This window comes from Homo sapiens, chromosome 3, assembly GCF_000001405.40.
Source record: "Homo sapiens chromosome 3, GRCh38.p14 Primary Assembly".
Taxonomy (NCBI): Eukaryota; Metazoa; Chordata; class Mammalia; order Primates; family Hominidae; genus Homo; species Homo sapiens.
This window is the reverse complement of record NC_000003.12, coordinates 194,353,560-194,376,014: the sequence shown is the minus strand read 5'-3', so window position 1 is coordinate 194,376,014 and position 22,455 is coordinate 194,353,560. Positions and strand designations below refer to the sequence as shown.

The 22,455-nt window shown below is 52.1% G+C and overlaps 1 protein-coding gene across 2 annotated transcripts, besides 1 other annotated feature; it reads left to right on the top strand.

The window, feature by feature from the left end:
* Positions 5,849-6,813: an enhancer, noted in NCBI's record as "H3K4me1 hESC enhancer chr3:194089931-194090895 (GRCh37/hg19 assembly coordinates)". NCBI's record gives its function as "activates a minimal SCP1, AML or CMV promoter by ChIP-STARR-seq in naive H9 embryonic stem cells {active_cell/tissue: H9 hESC(naive)}" and the evidence as "EXISTENCE:reporter gene assay evidence [ECO:0000049][PMID:30033119]".
* LRRC15 (leucine rich repeat containing 15) lies at positions 6,272-20,766 on the top strand. 2 transcript variants are annotated; one of them, NM_001135057.3, is made up of 3 exons: positions 6,272-6,354; positions 12,603-12,659; positions 14,969-20,766. In NM_001135057.3, the coding sequence occupies exons 2-3, from the start codon at positions 12,645-12,647 to the stop codon at positions 16,715-16,717; spliced, it is 1,764 nt and encodes a 587-aa protein (NP_001128529.2). In that variant the 5' UTR covers positions 6,272-6,354; positions 12,603-12,644; the 3' UTR covers positions 16,718-20,766. The 2 variants fall into 2 exon arrangements, with proteins under 2 accessions (NP_001128529.2, NP_570843.2); NM_130830.5 differs by lacking the exon at positions 12,603-12,659.
* The last annotated feature ends 1,689 nt before the right edge of the window (positions 20,767-22,455 follow it).

Below are 22,455 nucleotides of genomic sequence, written 5' to 3'. Positions count from 1 at the left end.
CACTGGGGATTTTAAGAAGGTGACTGTTTGCTTGTTTGTCCCATTATTATTATTCTATATATTTTTAGTGTTTCTGGCTTCATTCTTCCTGTATGAGGATGGTGTGTAGTACTTTATAGAGACTAAATTTTACCTCTTTGGGATAAGTAGGAATAAGTCATTTCCTCAAAGGCTGCCTTTTTCCTGCTGACAAAGCAGCAACAACCCTGTAAACAGGGAAAGACAGGAGTGGGAGGGGCATTCCCACTGACGGGGAATCTGCCGTGATCAAGCCCTGAGCTGGGCGTTGCACACACAATTCTCCTTCTAATCCTTTCATCAGTCAAGTGGGGCAGGTTGTTATCTGAGCTCACACATGGGGACAAGGAGGCTCAAAGTGGCAGGTCAGGGATGGACGGGGCTGGGATTTGGAAGCCATCAGGGAACCTGAGCTCCTTCTGTGACAGGAAAAGCCCTTTTGCTCCTGCTGAGCGCTAGGCGGGTGTTAGGGGCCTGTTTCAAGAAGAAAAGAGTCTGGTCTCCTCCCCTCCCCTCCCCTCCCCTCCCCCCTTCTCCCCTCCTCTCTCCTTTCTTCTCCTCTTTTCTTTCCCTCCTTCTCCACTAGACATTGACTCCACTGGACATGTCACTCAGTCTATAAACGTTTCATTCTTTACCATGAAAAAAACATTCCGTGTGGTGTACATACTCTGTATGCTATATGATGATGATACATGTCATTACACACTTGCCAAAGCTCATTGAATGACAGCACCAATCCCACACGGGCCTTACGCTGGAAGCGGATGGTTCATGTATGTGAGCCCCTTAGAGTGGGTTAACTTCTGTACACCAGCACTTGGCTCAGGGCCTGCCGCTTACCGGCTGCTCAGTTACTGAGCGAATGCAGGGCTCCCCGGTGACCCATCAGGACGGTTGCGGGGAGGGCCTGTGTGGGGCAGTTCCAAGGGTGCAGGAGAGGAGAAGGCTTTGGAATGGATGGGCCTCACACGGGCAAGGGCAGGCACCATGGGGCCCAAAGGGTGGAGGAGAGCCCAGTGTGGAGGGCCCAGGGAGGCAGGTTTCAGTTTAAGAAAAAGATGTAAAAAATAGAACCTTATCGAGACCAGCCTGGGCAACATGGCCAAACCCCATCTCTACTAAAAATACAAAAAAATTAACCAGGCGTGGTGGTGTGTGCCTGTAATCCCAGCTACTCGGATGAGGAAGGAGAGTCGCTCGAGCCCGGGAGGCAGAGGCTGCAGCGAGCCTAGATCGTGCCACTGCACTCTAGCCTGGGAGCTAGAACAAGAGTCCATCTCAAAAAAAAAAAAAAAAAAAAGAACCTTATTTTTATATTTCAAAATAGTTGTTCTAATTACCTACCGGATGTAATTCAGGAATGCATGTTTGTTTAAATGAAACATTAAACAACACATAGTTATAAACAGCCTTGTTTATCACTGCTCCCTGCCTCCACTGCTGTGGCAATTTTGTATGTGTCTCTCTAGATCTTTCTCTATGCATTTATATATAGATACAAAGACACCCGTGTGTGTGTGTATATATGTGTGATACAAACACACACGGACAGACACACACCATATAGCTGGGTGAAATTTCTCACACCTGCATTGCTCTTTCTTGTTCCTCTTAAGCCGTGTCAGGGAAAGTTTTCTATAAAACTGAATACATCCACAGAGACTCAGGTGGCCGAATGCTCCAACACAGTCCTGTTATGAGAGGCTGTCCTCGTGAGCAAAAGGGATGCCTGTGTGTCCTTGAGATATGCTGCTCTGAGGAACAACCTAAAATTCCTCCTTCAGAGAACAGCCAGGACCTGGGAATGAGCTGGGGACCACTGGCTGCCCCTTGGGACCTTGCGGCTCTCATGGCCTTTTCTGCCTCCTGAAGGGAGAGCAGATGGAGGGGCACCCGGGCAGGAGAGAGGTGGGAGGGAACCAGGCGGAGACGAGAGCCCTGGATGGCCATCCCAGGCTGACTCTGTAGACACCGAGGGCCATTCAGTGGGATGACTGATGTTACGTACCGTCTTCTGGCTTTCTGTGTGATCATGATTGACAAATAGAAAGATTGTTTTCCTGACTCTTTCCCATGTGTTGAGGTATAACTGAGGAGTTGTACATTTACGTCTTTTTTTCTTAAGCCAGTAAGCGCAATTATATTATATATATTAATCTGTGACTCGCTTTTATGCTTAATACATCTGATATGTTTTTCTTCTGCAAATAAAGATGTATCTGTCTCATCTTTTAAAACTGGCTGTTTGGTATGGATTTTCATGATGTGCGCAGCCACTGTCTTGCAGACAGACATCTGAGTGGTTCACAGTGATCTGCTGTTGCCAGTCTTGCTGCCTGGAGCATGCTTGAACGTATCGCTGTATGCACACCCACCGTCATGTCTGTGTATGTGGGGGTTTACACACTTTGAGTTTCTTTTTTTGTTGGGTGGGGGAGAGTTGGGGTCTCACTATGCTGTCCAAGCTGGTCTCAAACTCCTGGCCTCAAGCGATTCTCTTGCCTCAGCCTCCCCAGTCACTGGGATTACAGGCGTGAGCCACCATGCCTGGGTTTTTGGATTTTGATAGCTATTGGTCTACCAGTTTATATTCCCATCAACAGTGTGAGACCACCGTCATCCTTACCAGCCCGAGGCATTCTCCATCTTTTTTATTCTGCCGCTCCAGCAGGGGACACAATGGTGTGGTCACAGCGTCCCCACCCCGAGGTGAACTGAGCAGGGATGCTAACGCCAGCTATGGAGGGTGCTGTGGAGGGGTTTGCCCCACCGAGGGGAGGCTGGGTCCCACGGCCTCCAGTGCCCGATTCTGTGCTTGTTAACTAGAATAGAGACACATGCGAGGGCGGGAGATAGCAGAGTTCCCTGAAGCCCTGGGGCGACCCCAGCTCTTCCGGTTCTCCCAGGGGGGCTGGAAAGTGAGCCCTGAGGTTACAGGGCCTGCGGGTGGTAAATCAGGCTTTCCCTTCCAATAATAATAGATGTCCCGTCCCTTCATTAGTGGAACGGAGCGGCTGTTCTGGGGGCTGCCTGGGGGCTGCCTTGCTTCCTCCGTAGGAGAAGGTGCTTCTCTGGGGAAGAGAGGGCCTCCATGTGTGGAAACCCGGAGTCCTGCAGCCCGATGTCCACGGCACCTCCAACCTGGGGAACTGCTCCTTCCTGCACGGCCTGGTTACGGTGTGGAAACCCATGCGCTGTCATGAAGGCCAGAGAGAGTTCTCTGTGAAGGCTGGAACCCCCCCACCCCCATAGCACACTTCCTACAGCATGGCTCCACCTGGGCCTGTCCCTCCTCCAAAACTCCTGGTGGCTCCCTACTGCCTCCAGAGGACTCCACTCTTCGGGATCATCCCAGTCCTCAGTGAGGCCCTGCCACACAGCCTGGGCTCTAGCCACATTCTCTCTCCTGCTCACTCTGACTGGATGGCTTTCCTTTACCCTCTCCCCTCACCTTCCAGGGTCTTGCTTTGTCACCGAGGCTGGAGTACAGTGGCGGGATCTGGGCTCACTGCAACCTCCGCCTCCTGGGTTCAAGTGATTCTCCTGCCCCAGCCTCCCAAGTAGCTGGGACTACAGGCGCCCGCCACCACGCCCGGCGAATTTTTTGTATTTTTAGTAGAGACAGGGTTTCACCGTGTTAGCCAGGATGATCTCGATCTCCTGACCTTGTGATCTGCCCGCCTCGGCCTCCCAAAGTGCTGGGATTACAGGCGTGAGCCACCGTGCCCGGCTGAGCCTGCTCATCTTTTAAGGTCACCCTCTGCATGACACCCCAGGTCCATCCCTTGAAATGCTCCCACATTCTCAAGCTTGCCCCGAGGAAGGATCTGTCAGTGACCTCACTCCTTCCATCTTCTCCCAGCCCCGCTCTGCGTCAGTCCGAACTTCCGTCCATGGGGGTTGTGTGCCCAAGCACAGGATCCAGTGGTGTGCAGATGGCATGGAGCCCACGGGCTAGGCTTGGACTCTGGCTCTGTCACTTAGCATATGGCTGCAGGGAAATTAGTTAACAGGCCTGGGCCTCAGTTTTTTTGTCTGTGAAATGGGGGTAATTACTGCCACTCATAGGACTATTTGGCAGATCAGTAGTTCTCAACCATGAATGTGTGTGTGTGTGTGTGTGTGTATGTGTTTGTGTAAACTCCCCCTTCCTGGGGACATTTGGCAATGTCTAGAGACATTTTGTTACTTTTGGATCGGGGGGTACTGCTGGCATCTAGAGGGCAGAGGCCAGGGATGCCATGGTGCCTCCCGCGACACGTAGAACAGCTCCTGCAATGAAGAATTATCTGCCTCCAAATGTCACGTGGTGAGGCCGAGAAAGCTGGTGGAGGTGAAATGATGGAGAGCTGCAGTGAGGTACCCAAGGGGTCTCTGGTTCACAGCAGGTGCTTCCCAAATAGCCATCTTTAAATGCAGCCGATTCATCCCTGTGTTGTCCACCACTCCCAGCACAGTGCCCGACACAGAGCGCTTGGGTGCTAGGATTAGGGAGGATGGAAGAGGAAAAAGAGGGATATTCTTATTCTTGTAGGTTCTATGGAAAGAAAGTTAAAGTGGCCAGGCGCGGTGGCTCACGTCTGTAATCCCAGCACTTTGGGAGGCTGAGGCGGGTGGATCACGAGAATCATGAGACCAGGAGATCAAGACCATCCTGGCTAACACGGTGAAACCCCATCTCTACAAAAAATACAAAAATTAGCTGAGCCTGGTGGTGCGTGCCTGTAATCCCAGCTACTCAGGAGGCTGAGGCAGGAGAATCGCTTGAACCCAGGAGGCGGAGGCTGCGGTGAGCCGAGATCGCGCCATTGCACTCCAGCCTGGGTGACAGAGTGAGACTCCGTCTCAAAAAAAAAAAAAAAAGAGAAAAGTTAAAGTACCTGATTTGGGAACGTGGAGGAATCAGGGCCGTAAGAGGGAAGGTGTTCTGCACGTGGGAACAAGGCTGGTGGGGGAAGGGATGGGGCTTCAAGCTGTGTGGAGCCACTCCAAGCAGTGCCTGCCCCTCCTGGGCTCCTGTTATTTAGTGGACAAGACACTTTTTGTTTCCGGCTCTGAATCACGGTGCCACAGTGAGGAGGAATGTGGCGTGATTCAGGCTGTAGGTCTTGACCATGACAAGCCACCCAAGCAACTATTTCAGTAATAACACTACGCACTTTTATATCTTCCTTTCATCGCAGATCTCAAAACACAGCGCAAATATTAATTAAGCCTCTTGGCACTCCATGAGGCACTGTGTGTAAATATCACTCTCCCCACTTAGCTGAGAGGGTAAACCGAGCCAGGCAAAGGCAGGGTGGCTTCAGCCTGGGGCAGCTCAGGCCTTGTTGAGGCTCCATCTCGGAGGAGAAGCCGGGGTTTGGAAGCCTTCCCGCCCCTCCAACTATGATTCCTGTATCCTCTTCCCCAGGCCTTTTTGGGGATACCACAAATAGAAACAGTTTTGTCCCCACTGGGGACGGGGGTAGAGAGGGCAGCAGTGTGTGGGCTGTAATGCAGAGGTGAGGGGCATAGGGAAGCTCCTCACGCCCAAATATGCCCCTTGATTGCCCGTCCCCAAGCCAGAGATGTGTGTGCCTGCACCTCTCAGAGCAGCAGTAATGGCAAAGACCCCAGCATCACAAGGAAATCGGAAATGCTGTTTTTAGAGGGGACACAGTGGTCGTAATTATATTTTTCCTTGGAATCTAAAGTAAATGCTTCTTCCAAAATGTTAACAACAGATGAAACACATTAATTGTCTGTAAATTTAAAGCCAAATAAAAAGTTTAAAATAAGAAAGAAAGAAAGAAAGAAAGAGAAGAATGAATAAGTTTTCTAGAACCACAGGGAGAAGCACTTGCCAATACTTCTAGGAGCAAAGAAACGCCCCTGAATCCTGCTCCATCCCTTTCTCGGGGTCCTTGTCTCCTTGGCCAGGGCAGGGCAGCAGGGGGTCCACAGTCACTTAGGGAGGGGTTTACCGGGTCGTTGTAAACTCCCCTCTCACGGTGGCCAATGCAGTGAAGGAATCCAAAAGATACACTGGGGGAAAGAAGGAAAGAGGAAAATGTGTCCTGAGTTTTTAAATACGGTTGAAGCAAACCCCTTACATTTAGGGATGCCAGCTATGTGTACCCTGTAGTGTCAGCCCGGGACATGCAGGCACTGCACTGTGGCCCACAGTCCCCCCTCCCAGGGCCAACACTGCCCTCTGCAGTGACTCACGCCCGGGATAGTTTAAATACCGGGACAGCTTAGGCGAGCCACACTCATGCTGCAGCCTTGAGCCGTCCCTCGTCCTCCTCTCAGGCTCCCTCTTGTCCACGGCGGGCGGGCGCCGAGCTGCTGGTAAGTAGGCAAGCCACCCCCATCCCTCCTCTCTGCTTAGAGGGCCCGGCCAGCCCCTTCCCATTTCTGCTGGACCTGCTCCCCTCGGAGACCCCAGAAGGGGCAGAGCTGACATGTGCCTGGGGATGCTCTCGGGACAGGGACAGAAGCAGCCTGTGCTGGAGGGGTGCAAGCCTGTCTCCCTCACTGCCTGGACACCAGGACCACCAGCCCCTCTGCTGATGCCTCAACAGCCTCTTATGCCCCTTGCCCTGAGCGGCTCATGATGTCAACCTGGGGTGCTGAGATGTCTGAGACCAGCAAGTTGGGCTGAAAGTGGACTAAATTATCACCCCCCTTGTCACTGGATTGACCGTTCTGGAATCTAGATCCACTGGGGGAAGAACTTCTCTTTTTAAGGTTCAGATTATTTGCGCCTGTGCCATCTTTCCTGGCACTTGCCCTGGTGGCTCCCAGTGGTCTGCCCCGCATTTGGTTCTGCCCAAGACCTTCCTTCATGGGGGTTTCCCAGGCAAGAGAGCTGTCTGCTTTGCATAGATGGATAACTCCTGCAAGTGTAACTTCAGCAGATGTGCTGGTCCCTGGTTTGCAGTTCCAATTTGGAATTCGGACATGGGCTCAGCATTGTTCAGGCTCTAACAGTGTGGCTTAGGGGACACTATGCTGGCAGTTTCCCCTCTCTCCTGCTGGAAGCGTCGGCCTCTGTGGAGCCTGGAGGCTTTGAGCAGGGAGTCAGGGCAGGAGATGGATTTGTGATGAGGTGGTATGTGGATTTGAAATTGTGACGGCTGCACCTTGACCCGTGTCTCTGCTCAAACGTAGAGGCAGGACCTGGGGCCAAGAAACCAACTGTGGAAAACCAGAGCTTTCAGGACTCTCCCACCCCTGCCAAAGTGCAAGAGCCATTCCACCTCCCGGGCCCAGGGCATCACCTCGGTGCAGCTGCACTCTCTCTGAGATGACACGTGTGCTCCAGTCGCAGGTGCCAGGTGCCTGTCTGCCACGTGCCAGCTTCTCCTTTGGGGTTATCTGGGATGCGTCACTTTACCTTGGGCAGCTCTCAGATGTGTTGCTGCCACTGGCTCCTTAATTTAGAAGTGCTCTAACGGCTGGCACTTCCTTCATTCTGCAGAGACTGAACATCTGGAGTAAATTCAGGGCCAGACAGCCCAATTTGCCTGTGGTCTTGAGTCAGCTGGGCGGGCTCAGCAGTGATGAGGCAGGCATGTGAGAGGGTTCGGGGCCAGGGTAAGTTCTGGATAGATTCGACAGACAGTCAGGTCATGGAAGGTTCTTCCCAGGGCTAGGGAACACTCCCTTAGCTCGCTCAGTAAATGGCGGGGTGGTGAGGCGAGGTAGAATAGATCCAGCCGTGGAGAATAAGGGGTGGGGGAGGAGCTGTCCCGACTCAGTCCTGCCAGTAAGCAGACTGTGATCACACATGGCAATTTGCTGCCCTGAATCCTGACCACGAAGGAGTCACTGCTGCTTCAGATTTATGGCCTGTCTTGGCTTTTGGACACAGAAATTAGAACCTGCTTCCAGATGCTTTGATCAGGGGCTGATCCATTTCTCTCTACTTTGGGATCCCAGGTGCCCGCCTGAGAAGGGGGCTGTTTGTAGCCCGTGGCTGCTGTCATAAGAGCCCTTTTGGGGCAGTTCTCCTGTTCTGCTGGGCGGTTTGTCAGTTTCTCCTGCCACCCTTGCCAGGCTAATGACAGTCCTGCTCTGGCCTCTGCAGGAAGCCAGACCTGGGAGGATCCCCAACAGAAGGGCTGGAAAGGAATTGCGCTTTTTAACTGATTTTCTGTTTTCAAACAATAAGCAACATGTTGGCTTTGAAGGGCCATGAGAGATGAGAGACGCGGGTCCCCGCTTGATCAAGGTGGACGGTGAGGGTGTGGCCAGTCTTGCTTTGGAGTTCAAGGAAGGTTTCTGTTTGGGGTGGAGTATTCCCAAATCAGGGGCCTGTGACCTTGGCCCCAGGTCCTGCCTCTACATTTGAGCAGAGACACAGGTAAAGGTGCAGCTGTCCCAGTTTCAAATCCACACACTGGCCGGGCGCGGTGGCTCACGCCTGTAATCTCAGCACTTTGGGAGGCCGAGGCGGGAGGATCATGAGGTCAGGAGATCAAGACCATCCTGGCTAACACGACGAAACCCTGTCTCTACTAAAAATACAAAAAATTAGCCGGGTGTGGTGGCGGGCACCTGTAGTCCCAGCTACTCGGGAGGCTGAGGCAGGAGAGTGGTGTGAACCCGGGAGGCAGAGCTTGCAGTAGCAGAGATCACACCACTGCACATCAGTCTGGGTGACAGAGCAAGACTCCGTCTCAAAAAAAATAGATAAATAAAAATAAAAAAATAAAGATCCACACACCCCTCATCACAAATCCATCTGCAGCCTTGACTCCATCTCCAGCCTTGTTGTTGAGATTACAGGGGTCAACACCTTCTGGTGAACCCTCTGTCCCTTCCCTACAGTCCTCCAGGAGACTCAGGTGGAATTGAACAAACACCAGCATCAGAGCAGCCTTAAAGAAGAAATCCCTGAACCCATGCAGCCTGGTAGTTGAAATAAGCACTTGCCCTTGGCGAATCATGCTGGGCAGGGGGAAGGTGGATTGTATGAGCCTCAGTTGATTTAAGCTGGAGGGTGCAAATCCACCTCCTCCCCAATCCCAGGCCCTGCCAGGCGTGTGGTTGACAAGGTCCCAAATCCCGGTGATGAGGCTCAGGGATTTGCCAAACTCTGTAGTTAGGGGCCCTGATCGGGTGTCAGGAGTCCCCAACGGACTGTGTGACCTTGGGCAAGTCTCTGCTCCCTGGGGACCCCCTCAGCTTTCCCAACTACAAAATGAGCAGACGGTTTGACTAGGTGCACTCAGAAAGCTCTTGCACCTCTGATGCTCCAGGCTCTAAGTACCGTTTCTGGAAGCAGCTTCTATTGCCAGGTTCAACTCAGCACAAACTGCAGTTCCTGATGGGGATGCGGAAGGGGCCGCTGAGAGAAATATTGGTAGAGGGATGGGGCCAGGCCTGTGGCAGGATCTGCGGCCTCCCCCATCCCGGGTCCTCTCGTTCTCAGCGGTCAGTGACAAAAGGTCTGAGCCTGGGTTCTCGGCTAGTCTAGACCTCACGTGGTGTTTCTGAGCATGTTCTGTGGACTCCTGCATTGGAGTCACTTGGGAAGTTTGTAAAACATGCAGAATCCTGGGCCCCGCTGAGACCTAGGGATCAGGATCTCTGCGGGTGGAGTCTCCAGAGATTCTGATTTTTACCCAACAACAAAAATAACAATCGTCACAAACGTTTATTGGGTCCTCACTTTGTGCCAAGAACTCACCCAAGTGCTTCACATGCATTAACTCGTTTAATCCTCACAGCAGCAACGCTATGAGGTCAGTTCTATTAAACAAGCCAGGCGATTTTATGTGCTGCCCCAGGAGAGGGGATGTTTGGTGAGATGGGGAGGTCTGGAGGCACGGAGGCCCGAGCTTCAGGCCAAGCCTCTCAGGCAGACCCACTGGCCTGAGCCCCCATGAGCGCGTGATTGAGGTCAGCACCAGCTGTGGGCAGTGGGGACAGACCCTGGCTGCTCCAAGCCTGACATCTTCCTCGGGAGCCCTCAGGCTTGTTGGGTGACATCTCTCTGCAGACAAGGCCATGACTGGGCAGCCCTCTGTGGGGAGAAGGGAGAAGCCAGGGAGAGACAGCCCCTCTCTGGGTCTCAGTTTCCCCAGGTGCACTGGGAGTGGGCAGGACCAGAAGCTCCCAGAGGCCCCTCCCAGTCCCTGGGTTCCATGGAACGGCTATTGGCTGTGTGCGGACATGCTGATTACTAAGTGGGATTGCCCTGGCTGGGAAACTTGGAGGCAGGTGGGCCTGAAAAGATGGGCATGAGTTCCTCAGGCCTCAGCATGAAGCTGGAGCCGGGCCGGGCGGCCCTGCTGGAGGTCCAGCAGGTCCTCTGGGGAAGAGAAGATGAGGAGAATGAGGGGCTTCAGGCCAAATTTCCTTCCTGCCTCACATCAGAAGATAGCAGAGCTCCAAGGGCCCTTGGACGTCTTTACTGAAGGGGAAACTGAGGCCTGGAGAATTTCCCTAAGCTCACACTTCAACTTAGTGTCAACCAGAGTAGAACGCTGGTCTTCCAGCCTCCCTCCAAAAGTTATGCTCTGTGTCATTAAAATAAGGAGGAGTCTCCTTCCAGGAAACCTCGTGTTCAGGGAATGTGAACGATGGTATTAAACCAAAAACGTCCCAACCCACCAACCAACAAAGCCCAGGGCTTCGAGGCTAATTACGCGTTTGCTCGTGAGTCACGGTGCTTCTGCTGAGACCCAAAGCCGAGAGCCCTGGTTCGTGCACTTCTGCTCACGGGGAGGGAATGCATCAGAGCGCCCAGGAGAGCTGTCAGGCTGTCCTTCGGTTTGTCTGCTCGGCTTGCTGACTTCATGGGCCAGTGATAGACACCAGGCTATTCCCCCTTCCCAGGAGCTGGACAGGGGCTGGACTGAGTCACTGAAGTGATTGACGACGCTCTCGGCTGCCTGGGGGAGAAGTTATAATTAGGGCAGCTTTGTGGCCCTTTAACTGCCATCTGTCAGAGCTGCCAAGCAGCACCAGGCAGCGTGGGCTATTAGGCCTCCAGGTGCTGGGCTCCTAGAGGCTGTGGCCACTGCAGGAGCTGGCATCACATGCTGAGAATCCAAGGGCCCAGCTGTCAGTCCTGGTTCTGTGGCCCCTCCCTCCCCTGCGGGCTTTGCAGCCGGGTTTCAGGGGAGCACTTTGGAGGCCCTGTGGAGCCCTGGCCGCCAGCCACAGCAGTGGAAAGTGCTGGAAAACAGGAAACTGCTGCATGTGGTGCTGGGATGGGCTTTGCAGATGTGAGGATTTATACAGAGGAAAATCTGCAAATTCTTGCAATATTTGTCATGCTGAGTGTGGCCCATTTTAGACAGTGGTGGCCCTGTTCCCATAGGGAATTATCTGTGCAGTCCTCTCAGGTCAAGGGGCACCTTCCCTGGCACAAGCCCTTCCTGGGCTGGCTTGATGCCCCTCCCCAGCTGGGGAGTGCAGACTCCTAGAAAGCCACATAAAGATGGGTCCTCAGAGGGTGCCTCATCCTACACTGTCCTTCATAGATGGGGAAACTCAAGATTGCCCTGGGCTGGCCAGGTGACATGCACTTAATTTAGTCTCTGACACTTGGGCTGTGACACCGTTTTGAAGCATGCTGGGTATATGAGTGTACATTAAATATAAGTGCCAGCCAGCTTGTCTCCAGGAGCAATTCAAGCTCCACCTTTTGCACGTCAGCCCAGGCAGTAAATATCTCACGTACACTTACACCAAAGAGATGGGCAAATACCCACACTGTCCACGCAGACCCCTAAGAGTACAGGCACCGTTGTCTTGGTGGACAGATTGTTTTCTCATGCCCTGAAACTCAGCCTTAGAATCCTAAGGTCTTAGGAATGGACAGGACACCAGTTGTCTTCCAGTCCAATACCCTACCAGGCATGGGAGTCTTCTCTACAGCTTGCTTGCCAAGTGATTGCTTTAGCCTCTGCTTGATTGCTTCCAGTGACAGTGAGCTTACTCCCTCTGTGAGGTTGCCCATTTTCAGTGTGAACTGAAATCTGCTACTCTATAACTTCTGCACCCGCTTGACCTCTGAAGCCACACTGAGCTAGGTTCTTTCTGTATCCCGTGGCAGCCCTTCAGGGATGCTAGGAAAGTGATTGTAGACTCCTCACAGCATCTCCTCCTCTGGTTATTTATTCATCCACAGCTCCTTCATTTTAATTTTAATTTAATTTTTTTCTCACCATGTCTTAGGGTGCTGACACAGTTCCTTCAATGGATGCTCAGATGTTCTGTTTTCTAGATCCCCTTGCCATCCTCTAGAATTCTTTAGGAAGTCAGTTTGCCATTAGCCTTTTTGAAGTTCAGAGTGGAACTGAGCCCAGCATTACAGGTGTGGCCACGTCAGGGCAGTTGCAGGGTGAGACCATCACCTCCTTTTTTCCACATGTGATACTTCTTCTATTAATCCAGTCTCAGACCACACTAGCTTTTGTGGGCAGCCTCCTTCCTTTGTTATCGTTAGTAAAAAGTCCTAAGTCTTCTCCTAGGGTGAATATTGAGCCACTTTTTTTGGTGTATTCTGTTTAGGCAGCTTGTTTTCTGTTGCTGGGTTCTGGACCTGACATTTGTCTATATAAGTTTTTACTTTTTTTCAGATGTGTCCCTAGCATAACCTGGCCCCATTCCTTTGCATCTAGATGCCTTTGGACAAGGTATTCTTTTTCCTTTCTTGTTTCCATTGTTCTATATGCTTAGTCAAGTTCTTAATGTAAAAGTATAGCAGGTCAGGGCTTCCATGGGCTGTGAACAAGTAAAAAAATCAAGGTCTTGGCCGGGCACGGTGGCTCATGCCTGTAATCCCAGCACTTTGGGAGACCGAGGTGGGCAGATCACGAGGTCAGGAGATCAAGACCAGCCTGACCAACATGGTGAAACCCTGTCTTTACTAAAAATACAAAAGTTAGCCAGGCATGGTGGCATGCGCCTTAATTCCAGCTACTCGGGAGGCTGAGGCAGGAGAATCCCTTGAACCTGGGAGGTGGAGTTTGCAGTGAGCAGAGATCATGCCACTGCACTCCAGCCTGGGGGACAGAGCGAGACTCCATCTCAAAAAAAAAAAAAAAAAAAACAAAATCAAGGTCTGTGTGGTTGGGGAATGGGCTTAGGTTTTTATCTCAGAGTAAGCTTGTTGAGGGGGCAGGGAAGGGGTGCACGGGGCTGAGGCCAAATTAGGAAGCCTGGGTTACTCTGAGACGTGGGCCAGGCTCCAGACCCCGTGAGTTCAGAGCCACAGACAGAGACCAGAGAAATACCTTCTTTACCCAACCATTGATGGCTTCTGTGCCATCATTTGAAATTCCTTCCTCTGACTCAGGATTTTTGCTCATGGAAAGGGAGACACAGCATTAACACTCAAAGTACTTCCTCAGGGGTCTGGAGACCTGGGCTTTAAGCTCAGAAGCCTTTCCTTGCTTCTTGCATCCCCAAAAAGTGATGGGAATGAGTGACCGGCAGTGATTGCTGCATCTTCCAGGAGTTTGGACCTTTGAACCTTTGGTGGAAGTTGCGGATACTCTCACATATACACAGAAATTCTTAGTTCCTTGACTACGAATGCCAAGACCAGAAGCACTTTGAAGCCCTCCTGACTTGAGGAGTCTATAGGGTCCATGCTGTGGATAAGCATGGAACAAGGCACGCATTTGCACAGCGCTGGCCGGGATGACCCTGCATCCTTTCCGCATTCGCTCCTCACAACAGCCCCAAGAACGGGGCGGGAGTTACCATCCCCTCTTCACACACGAGGGAGCTGAAGCTTGCAGGCCTCAAGCTTCATGCAAGGTGAAACTGTTAGTGATCCTTAAATATTCATATAGGGACCAGCACCTATGTCCCATATCTCTACATTTTACACACACACACACACACATACACACACACAGTTATATATGTCATTGTCATCAGTGATTTCAAACACCAACATTTCCATGAACTTGCCTCCATTTTCAGAACATTGCCACACCTGACCTACCATCTTTTAGCTCAAAGTACATCTCAGTAGGTTTCCTGGAACTTACTCAAGGACTCCCCAGTGTTTCTTGTGGAAACTGGGACTTATACCCACAAGGCTGGCTTCGGGCACCAGCTAAGCCACAGCAGCCTCTCCCAGCGAGGCAGGACATGGTGCAGACACGTCATTGCCTTTTCCTGGGAGGGTGGTTTGAATTCGAGCTAGATGAAGCACAGGTGAAAGGGCTAGCAGATGGCTAAGTGATGGTTGGTGGTGATGGGCTGGGCAGGGCAGGCCCAGGCGAGGGTGAGGAAGAGCTGCTTCCACTGTAGTCATTCAGGCAGATCCCAGCTCTGTGGTCCTAACTCTGCCGCCGCTGCTGCACCTCCCGGCAGGCTACCGTGTTTGTGGCCTCACCATCTTCCCCCAGGTTCAGCCCTATTTATTTGTTCCCATTGCCTTTGTGTTCCTCCTGACAGGGCTGTGCTTAACCAGCACATTCAGATGATGTGAGGGATACAGAGATGGATAAGATACAGTTCCCGCCCTAAGGAAACTGTAGGGATGAAAGATGGACTCCCTGTCCGTGGAAAGCTTATTGACTGGGGAAGGAGACAGACAGGGGACACAGTGAATGACATCCAAGGCCACCGTGGCCAATGATGGAGACTGGGAAGACGACTTCATGGAAGGGTAACTGATTGACTCATGGAATCTGGGAAGTGTCCTAAAGGTTATTGCACTGGAGTTGGACGTGGAAGCATGGGAAAATTTTGTATAAGGACAAGGGACATTCCAGGTAGGGAGAATTGCCTGGGCAAAGGCATGGAAGCAGAAAGGCAGGGCAAAGGTGCAGAGGCTTCCTGTTCAGAGCAGAGAGAGCATGTGTTCAGTATGTGATGATGGGGTTCAAAGCCAAGCCAGCATTGGCACTGGAGTTGATGTTGGCTTAAAACTTGCCAGTGTCAGGTAGAGGACCCTGACTAACGTGTGCTCTCTCCCCTTGCACAGGCTATGCCACTGAAGCATTATCTCCTTTTGCTGGTGGGCTGCCAAGCCTGGGGTGCAGGGTTGGCCTACCATGGCTGCCCTAGCGAGTGTACCTGCTCCAGGGCCTCCCAGGTGGAGTGCACCGGGGCACGCATTGTGGCAGTGCCCACCCCTCTGCCCTGGAACGCCATGAGCCTGCAGATCCTCAACACGCACATCACTGAACTCAATGAGTCCCCGTTCCTCAATATCTCAGCCCTCATCGCCCTGAGGATTGAGAAGAATGAGCTGTCGCGCATCACGCCTGGGGCCTTCCGAAACCTGGGCTCGCTGCGCTATCTCAGCCTCGCCAACAACAAGCTGCAGGTTCTGCCCATCGGCCTCTTCCAGGGCCTGGACAGCCTCGAGTCTCTCCTTCTGTCCAGTAACCAGCTGTTGCAGATCCAGCCGGCCCACTTCTCCCAGTGCAGCAACCTCAAGGAGCTGCAGTTGCACGGCAACCACCTGGAATACATCCCTGACGGAGCCTTCGACCACCTGGTAGGACTCACGAAGCTCAATCTGGGCAAGAATAGCCTCACCCACATCTCACCCAGGGTCTTCCAGCACCTGGGCAACCTCCAGGTCCTCCGGCTGTATGAGAACAGGCTCACGGATATCCCCATGGGCACTTTTGATGGGCTTGTTAACCTGCAGGAACTGGCTCTGCAGCAGAACCAGATTGGACTGCTCTCCCCTGGTCTCTTCCACAACAACCACAACCTCCAGAGACTCTACCTGTCCAACAACCACATCTCCCAGCTGCCACCCAGCGTCTTCATGCAGCTGCCCCAGCTCAACCGTCTTACTCTCTTTGGGAATTCCCTGAAGGAGCTCTCTCCGGGGATCTTCGGGCCCATGCCCAACCTGCGGGAGCTTTGGCTCTATGACAACCACATCTCTTCTCTACCCGACAATGTCTTCAGCAACCTCCGCCAGTTGCAGGTCCTGATTCTTAGCCGCAATCAGATCAGCTTCATCTCCCCGGGTGCCTTCAACGGGCTAACGGAGCTTCGGGAGCTGTCCCTCCACACCAACGCACTGCAGGACCTGGACGGGAACGTCTTCCGCATGTTGGCCAACCTGCAGAACATCTCCCTGCAGAACAACCGCCTCAGACAGCTCCCAGGGAATATCTTCGCCAACGTCAATGGCCTCATGGCCATCCAGCTGCAGAACAACCAGCTGGAGAACTTGCCCCTCGGCATCTTCGATCACCTGGGGAAACTGTGTGAGCTGCGGCTGTATGACAATCCCTGGAGGTGTGACTCAGACATCCTTCCGCTCCGCAACTGGCTCCTGCTCAACCAGCCTAGGTTAGGGACGGACACTGTACCTGTGTGTTTCAGCCCAGCCAATGTCCGAGGCCAGTCCCTCATTATCATCAATGTCAACGTTGCTGTTCCAAGCGTCCATGTCCCCGAGGTGCCTAGTTACCCAGAAACACCATGGTACCCAGACACACCCAGTTACCCTGACACCACATCCGTCTCTTCTACCACTGAGCTAACCAGCCCTGTGGAAGACTACACTGATCTGACTACCATTCAGGTCACTGATGACCGCAGCGTTTGGGGCATGACCCAGGCCCAGAGCGGGCTGGCCATTGCCGCCATTGTAATTGGCATTGTCGCCCTGGCCTGCTCCCTGGCTGCCTGCGTCGGCTGTTGCTGCTGCAAGAAGAGGAGCCAAGCTGTCCTGATGCAGATGAAGGCACCCAATGAGTGTTAAAGAGGCAGGCTGGAGCAGGGCTGGGGAATGATGGGACTGGAGGACCTGGGAATTTCATCTTTCTGCCTCCACCCCTGGGTCCATGGAGCTTTCCCGTGATTGCTCTTTCTGGCCCCAGAGAAAGGTGAGCCTACCTCTTCCTGACTTGCCTGATTCTCCCGTAGAGAAGCAGGTCGTGCCGGACCTTCCTACAATCAGGAAGATAGATCCAACTGGCCATGGCAAAAGCCCTGGGGATTTCCGATTCATACCCCTGGGCTTCCTTCGAGAGGGCTCTTCCTCCAAATCCTCCCCACCTGTCCTCCAAGAACAGCCTTCCCTGCGCCCAGGCCCCCTCCGGGCCTCTGTAGACTCAGTTAGTCCACAGCCTGCTCACTTCGTGGGAATAGTTCTCCGCTGAGATAGCCCCTCTCGCCTAAGTATTATGTAAGTTGATTTCCCTTCTTTTGTTTCTCTTGTTTGTGCTACGGCTTGACCCAGCATGTCCCCTCAAATGAAAGTTCTCCCCTTGATTTTCTGCTCCTGAAGGCAGGGTGAGTTCTCTCCTCAAAGAAGACTTCAAACCATTTAACTGGTTTCTTAAGAGCCGTCAATCAGCCTGGTTTTGGGGATGCTATGAAAGAGAGAAGGAAAATCATGCCGCTCAGTTCCTGGAGACAGAAGAGCCGTCATCAGTGTCTCACTTGTGATTTTTATCTGGAAAAGGAAGAAACACCCCAGCACAGCAAGCTCAGCCTTTTAGAGAAGGATATTTCCAAACTGCAAACTTTGCTTTGAAAAGTTTAGCCCTTTAAGGAATGAAATCATGTAGAATTTTGGACTTCTAAAAACATTAAAATCAGCTTATTAATACGGGATAGAGAAAGAAATCTGGTGCCTGGGGGTCCCTGTGTTCACCCCTAGAGTTTGTTTTAAAATTTTTAATTGAAGCATGTGAAGTGTACGTGCAGAAAAGTGGGAACATGATAGTGTATGGCTTGGTGGATTTTCACAAACTGAACATACCTGTGTAATCAGCATCTAGACCCAGACCCAGAGCATCACAAATATCCCCCATCCTGGGCTTTTCCCAGAGGAGATGGGGGCTTCTGAAGATGGACTTACCTGGGACCTGCCCCCCATGAGCCAGGACGGTCCCCCCACAGTCAGCCTGTGCAAAGGCCCCGTGGCCAGGGGTGGAGGAGAATATGTGGGTGTGGACAGGATGGGAGACTGTGGCCTGAACAGGAGATTTTATTATATCTGGAGACCCTGAGAGACCCTGAGACCTGGGGCACCATGGCTGGCCAGGTCAGAAGCATCCTGACTGCAGAGGTCCGTGCAGCCACACCCTCTTCCCTGCCAGCAAGCTGTCTGCGGCTCATCGGAGGCCCCTCCGCCTGGAGCCTTCTATGGACGTGATATGCCTGTATCTGTTTTTAATTTTCATTCTTCACTTAGGGGAAGTGAAATCGCTCAGAGATGAGATCCTTTAATTGAAAACGAAGTGTAACGGAATCTAGTGTCTTTCTAATGTGGTAAAATTCTCCATCAACATCACAGTCAGCTGGCAGCTGAACTTCAGAATCTCACTTACAGCAGGCGACACGGGGGTACACCGATGGGTCACACTGGGTCTGGGGGCTCCCTGGAGCTCCTCCTGCGTGTGGTCTGGTTAGGAGTTGAGTTGTTTGCTCCAGGGTTATTCTCCTCCTCGAGTCACAGTCACACGAATACCTGCCTTCTCTGGCTTTCCTGCTATACACATATTCACATGGCGCTCAAGAAGTTAGGCTCATGGCAACGTGTGTCTTTCTCTGGACAACTGGCCCAGTTTACAGTGAAATGGAGAATTTCAGGTCTCCACGTCTGCCCAGGAAAGAACTTCAGCTGACTCCACGGGGATCTGGAAATCCACGACCAATCCCGATCGGCTCTTATTAGCTCCCCGCTCCACAAGACACCTGTGCTTTGGAAATCCACCACCAATCCCGATCGGCTCTTATTAGCTCCCCGCTCCACAAGACACCTGTGATCTGGAAATCTACCACCAATCCCGATCGGCTCTTATTAGCTCCCCGCTCCACAAGACACCTGTGACATCCTCCAGGGCCACAGGAGCACGTGCTGACCAGTTTTCCCTTCCAGTTCCTGCACAAAAAGTGTCCAGAGGGCTGTTTGCAAACACTAGTGCACTTTGTAGCTTTTCACCCTCTGTCCCAGGGAATCTAGGAGAGATGAGGCCCGTCAGAGTCAAGAGATGTCATCCCCCCAGGGTCTCCAAGGCATTTCCACACTATTGGTGGCACCTGGAGGACATGCACCAAGGCTTGCCAGAGCCAACAGGAAGTGAGCCCAGAGCATGGCACATGAGCATCACCCGCTGATGGTGGCCTGCTGTGCCTGGTGCCAACAGGGGCATCCCGGCCCGTACCCCTCCAGACAGGAAGCATGGGTTTGCCCACAGACCTGTCGGGTGCTCCTGTGAGTGGCCTCCAGATGTCTTTGTGCATAGGCACAAGTGGGCCAGGGCTGGAGGGAGGTGGGAAACCTCATCATCCGGTGGGCCCTGCCAATCTTAACCCAGAACCCTTAGGTATTCCTGGCAGTAGCCATGACATTGGAGCACCTTCCTCTCCAGCCAGAGGCTGACCTGAGGGCCACTGTCCTCAGATGACACCACCCAGGAGCACCCTAGGTGAGGGGTGAGGGCCCCCTTATGTGAACCTCTTGCCTCTTCCTTTCTCCCATCAGAGTGGTTGGATGGAGCCATTGGCCTCCTTTTCTTCAGCGGGCCCTTCAACCTCTCTGCACCATGTTGTCTGGCTGAGGAGCTACTAGAAAAGCTGAGTGGAGTCTCCTTTCCAACAGGATGATGCATTTGCTCAATTCTCAGGGCTGGAATGAGCCGGCTGGTCCCCCAGAAAGCTGGAGTGGGGTACAGAGTTCAGTTTTCCTCTCTGTTTACAGCTCCTTGACAGTCCCACGCCCATCTGGAGTGGGAGCTGGGAGTCAGTGTTGGAGAAGAAACAACAAAAGCCAATTAGAACCACTATTTTTAAAAAGTGCTTACTGTGCACAGATACTCTTCAAGCACTGGACGTGGATTCTCTCTCTAGCCCTCAGCACCCCTGCGGTAGGAGTGCCGCCTCTACCCACTTGTGATGGGGTACAGAGGCACTTGCTCTTCTGCATGGTGTTCAATAGGCTGGGAGTTTTATTTATCTCTTCAAACTTTGTACAAGAGCTCATGGCTTGTCTTGGGCTTTCGTCATTAAACCAAAGGAAATGGAAGCCATTCCCCTGTTGCTCTCCTTAGTCTTGGTCATCAGAACCTCACTTGGTACCATATAGATCAAAAGCTTTGTAACCACAGGAAAAAATAAACTCTTCCATCCCTTAAAGAATAGAATAGTTTGTCCCTCTCATGGGAATTGGGCTGTATGTATATTGTTCTTCCTCCTTAGAATTTAGAGATACAAGAGTTCTACTTAGAACTTTTCATGGACACAATTTCCACAACCTTTCAGATGCTGATGTAGAGCTATTGGGAAAGAACTTCCAAACTCAGGAAGTTTGCAGAGAGCAGACAGCTAGAGATAACTCGGGACCCAGAGTTGGTCGACAGATGTTAGATGTATCCTAGCTTTTAGCTATAAACCACTCAAAGATTCAGCCCCCAGATCCCACAGTCAGAACTGAATCTGCGTTGTTGGGAAGCCAGCAGTGGCCTTGGGAAGGAAGCCATGGCTGTGGTTCAGAGAGGGTGGGCTGGCAAGCCACTTCCGGGGAAAACTCCTTCCGCCCCAGGTTTCTTCTTCTCTTAAGGAGAGATTGTTCTCACCAACCCGCTGCCTTCATGCTGCCTTCAAAGCTAGATCATGTTTGCCTTGCTTAGAGAATTACTGCAAATCAGCCCCAGTGCTTGGCGATGCATTTACAGATTTCTAGGCCCTCAGGGTTTTGTAGAGTGTGAGCCCTGGTGGGCAGGGTTGGGGGGTCTGTCTTCTGCTGGATGCTGCTTGTAATCCATTTGGTGTACAGAATCAACAATAAATAATATACATGTATACATGGGCTGTGTGTGCTCTCTATGGAAGTCTTGGGTAGGTGGTCTCACACCTGTGGATTCTGCTCTTCTATGTTTGTGCAAGGTTGAACTGGACAGATCCTTACAGAAAGCAGATTCTGGGCTGAGAATAGGCCTTTGGAAAGTGAGTGGGAGGCCGGGTGCGGTGGCCCACACCTGTAACCCCAGCACGTTGAGAGGCCGAGGTGGGTGGATCACCTGAGCTCAGGAGTTCAAGACCAGCCTGGCCAACATGGCAAAAACCCATCTCTACTAAAAATACAAAAATTAGCCAGGCATGGTGGTGTGTGCCTGTAATCCCAGCTACTCGGGAGGCTGAGACAGGAGAATCTCTTGAACCCAGGAGGCAGAGGTTGCAGTGAGCCAAGGTTGTGCCACTGCCCCTCCAGCCTGGGCAACAGAGTGAGACTCCATCTCAAAAAAAAAAAAAAAAAAAGAAAAGAAAGAAAAGAAAATAAGTGGGGACCCAAAAGAAAATAACAAATGGTATCTATAGGCCACCGTGGCTGGAAAAGACCTGAAGGATAAGTTCAATCCATTTTATAGATGAGGAAAAGGAGCTCAAGACAGGAAATGAATGTCCAATAGTCACCAGTAAGCCAGTGGCTGAGCCAGCCCTGCAACCCAGGCCTTCAGGCTCCCAGGCTGGTTCTTTTATGCCACCAGGAAGCCACTGACGTTCTGTCAGCATTTGTTCAAAGCACACGTGTGTATGCACACACACACATGCATGCAGGCAGGTGGCAGGACTATGTTACACACCTCTGGACTCCTCTAAGTACTTAGCACCAGGCTCAGGAAGTCCCAGGCTCTCAGGCAACACTGTCTGAAGGAAGGTGACTCCCTCCAAGTGTCCAGGTGTCTCCAGAACTCCCTCAGGCCTTTGGGTTCTGGGGGTGCCACAGCTGCTGGTGCAGGTCCAGCAGTTAAGAGAGGGGTGATCTGCTGTCCCTGTCCCTTTATCCCATGATTATACACAGGAAAAGGGCTTCCAATCATATTTACCTGGACTCTTCTAGTGTCTTAGATCCCTTCTGCCAGGTGTAAGCCTGTCCCAGGAGATTAAGCCCAACAGGGGTCAGTCATGTTCATCATATTACAGGGCTGGACCCCTCCCATGAGCAAGGCAGGGCCTTGTTGCCCTTCCCTAGCCACTGAACCTTAGTACACTCAAACAGCTTTCTGGAATTTTGGATAATGGGGAAAGGAGTTAGAATCTCCATCCCTTCTCTTTCAGAAGATCCTTGAAATTTTTTTGTTTGTTTGTTTGAGGCAAAGTCTCATTCTGTCACCCAGGCTGGAGTGCAGTGGCGCGATCTTGGCTCACTGCAACCTCCATCTCCCGGGTTCAAGCGATTCTCCTGCCTCAGCCTCCCTAGTTGCTGGGACTACGGGCACATGCCACCACACCCAGCTAATTTTTGTATTTTTAGTAGAGATGAGGTTTCACCATATTGGCCAGGATGGTCTCGATCTCCCGATCTCATGTTCCACCCACCTCGGCCTCCCAAAGTGCTGGGATTACAGGCGTGAGCCACCTCGCTTGGCTGATCCTTGGAATTTTTAATGCAAGTCCCCTTCCACAGATGTTTCACCCTACACACACACTCTCTCTCTCTGTCTCCTACCTCCCCAGGCCTTCTGCCACACCCATTCCACAGACGAGAAT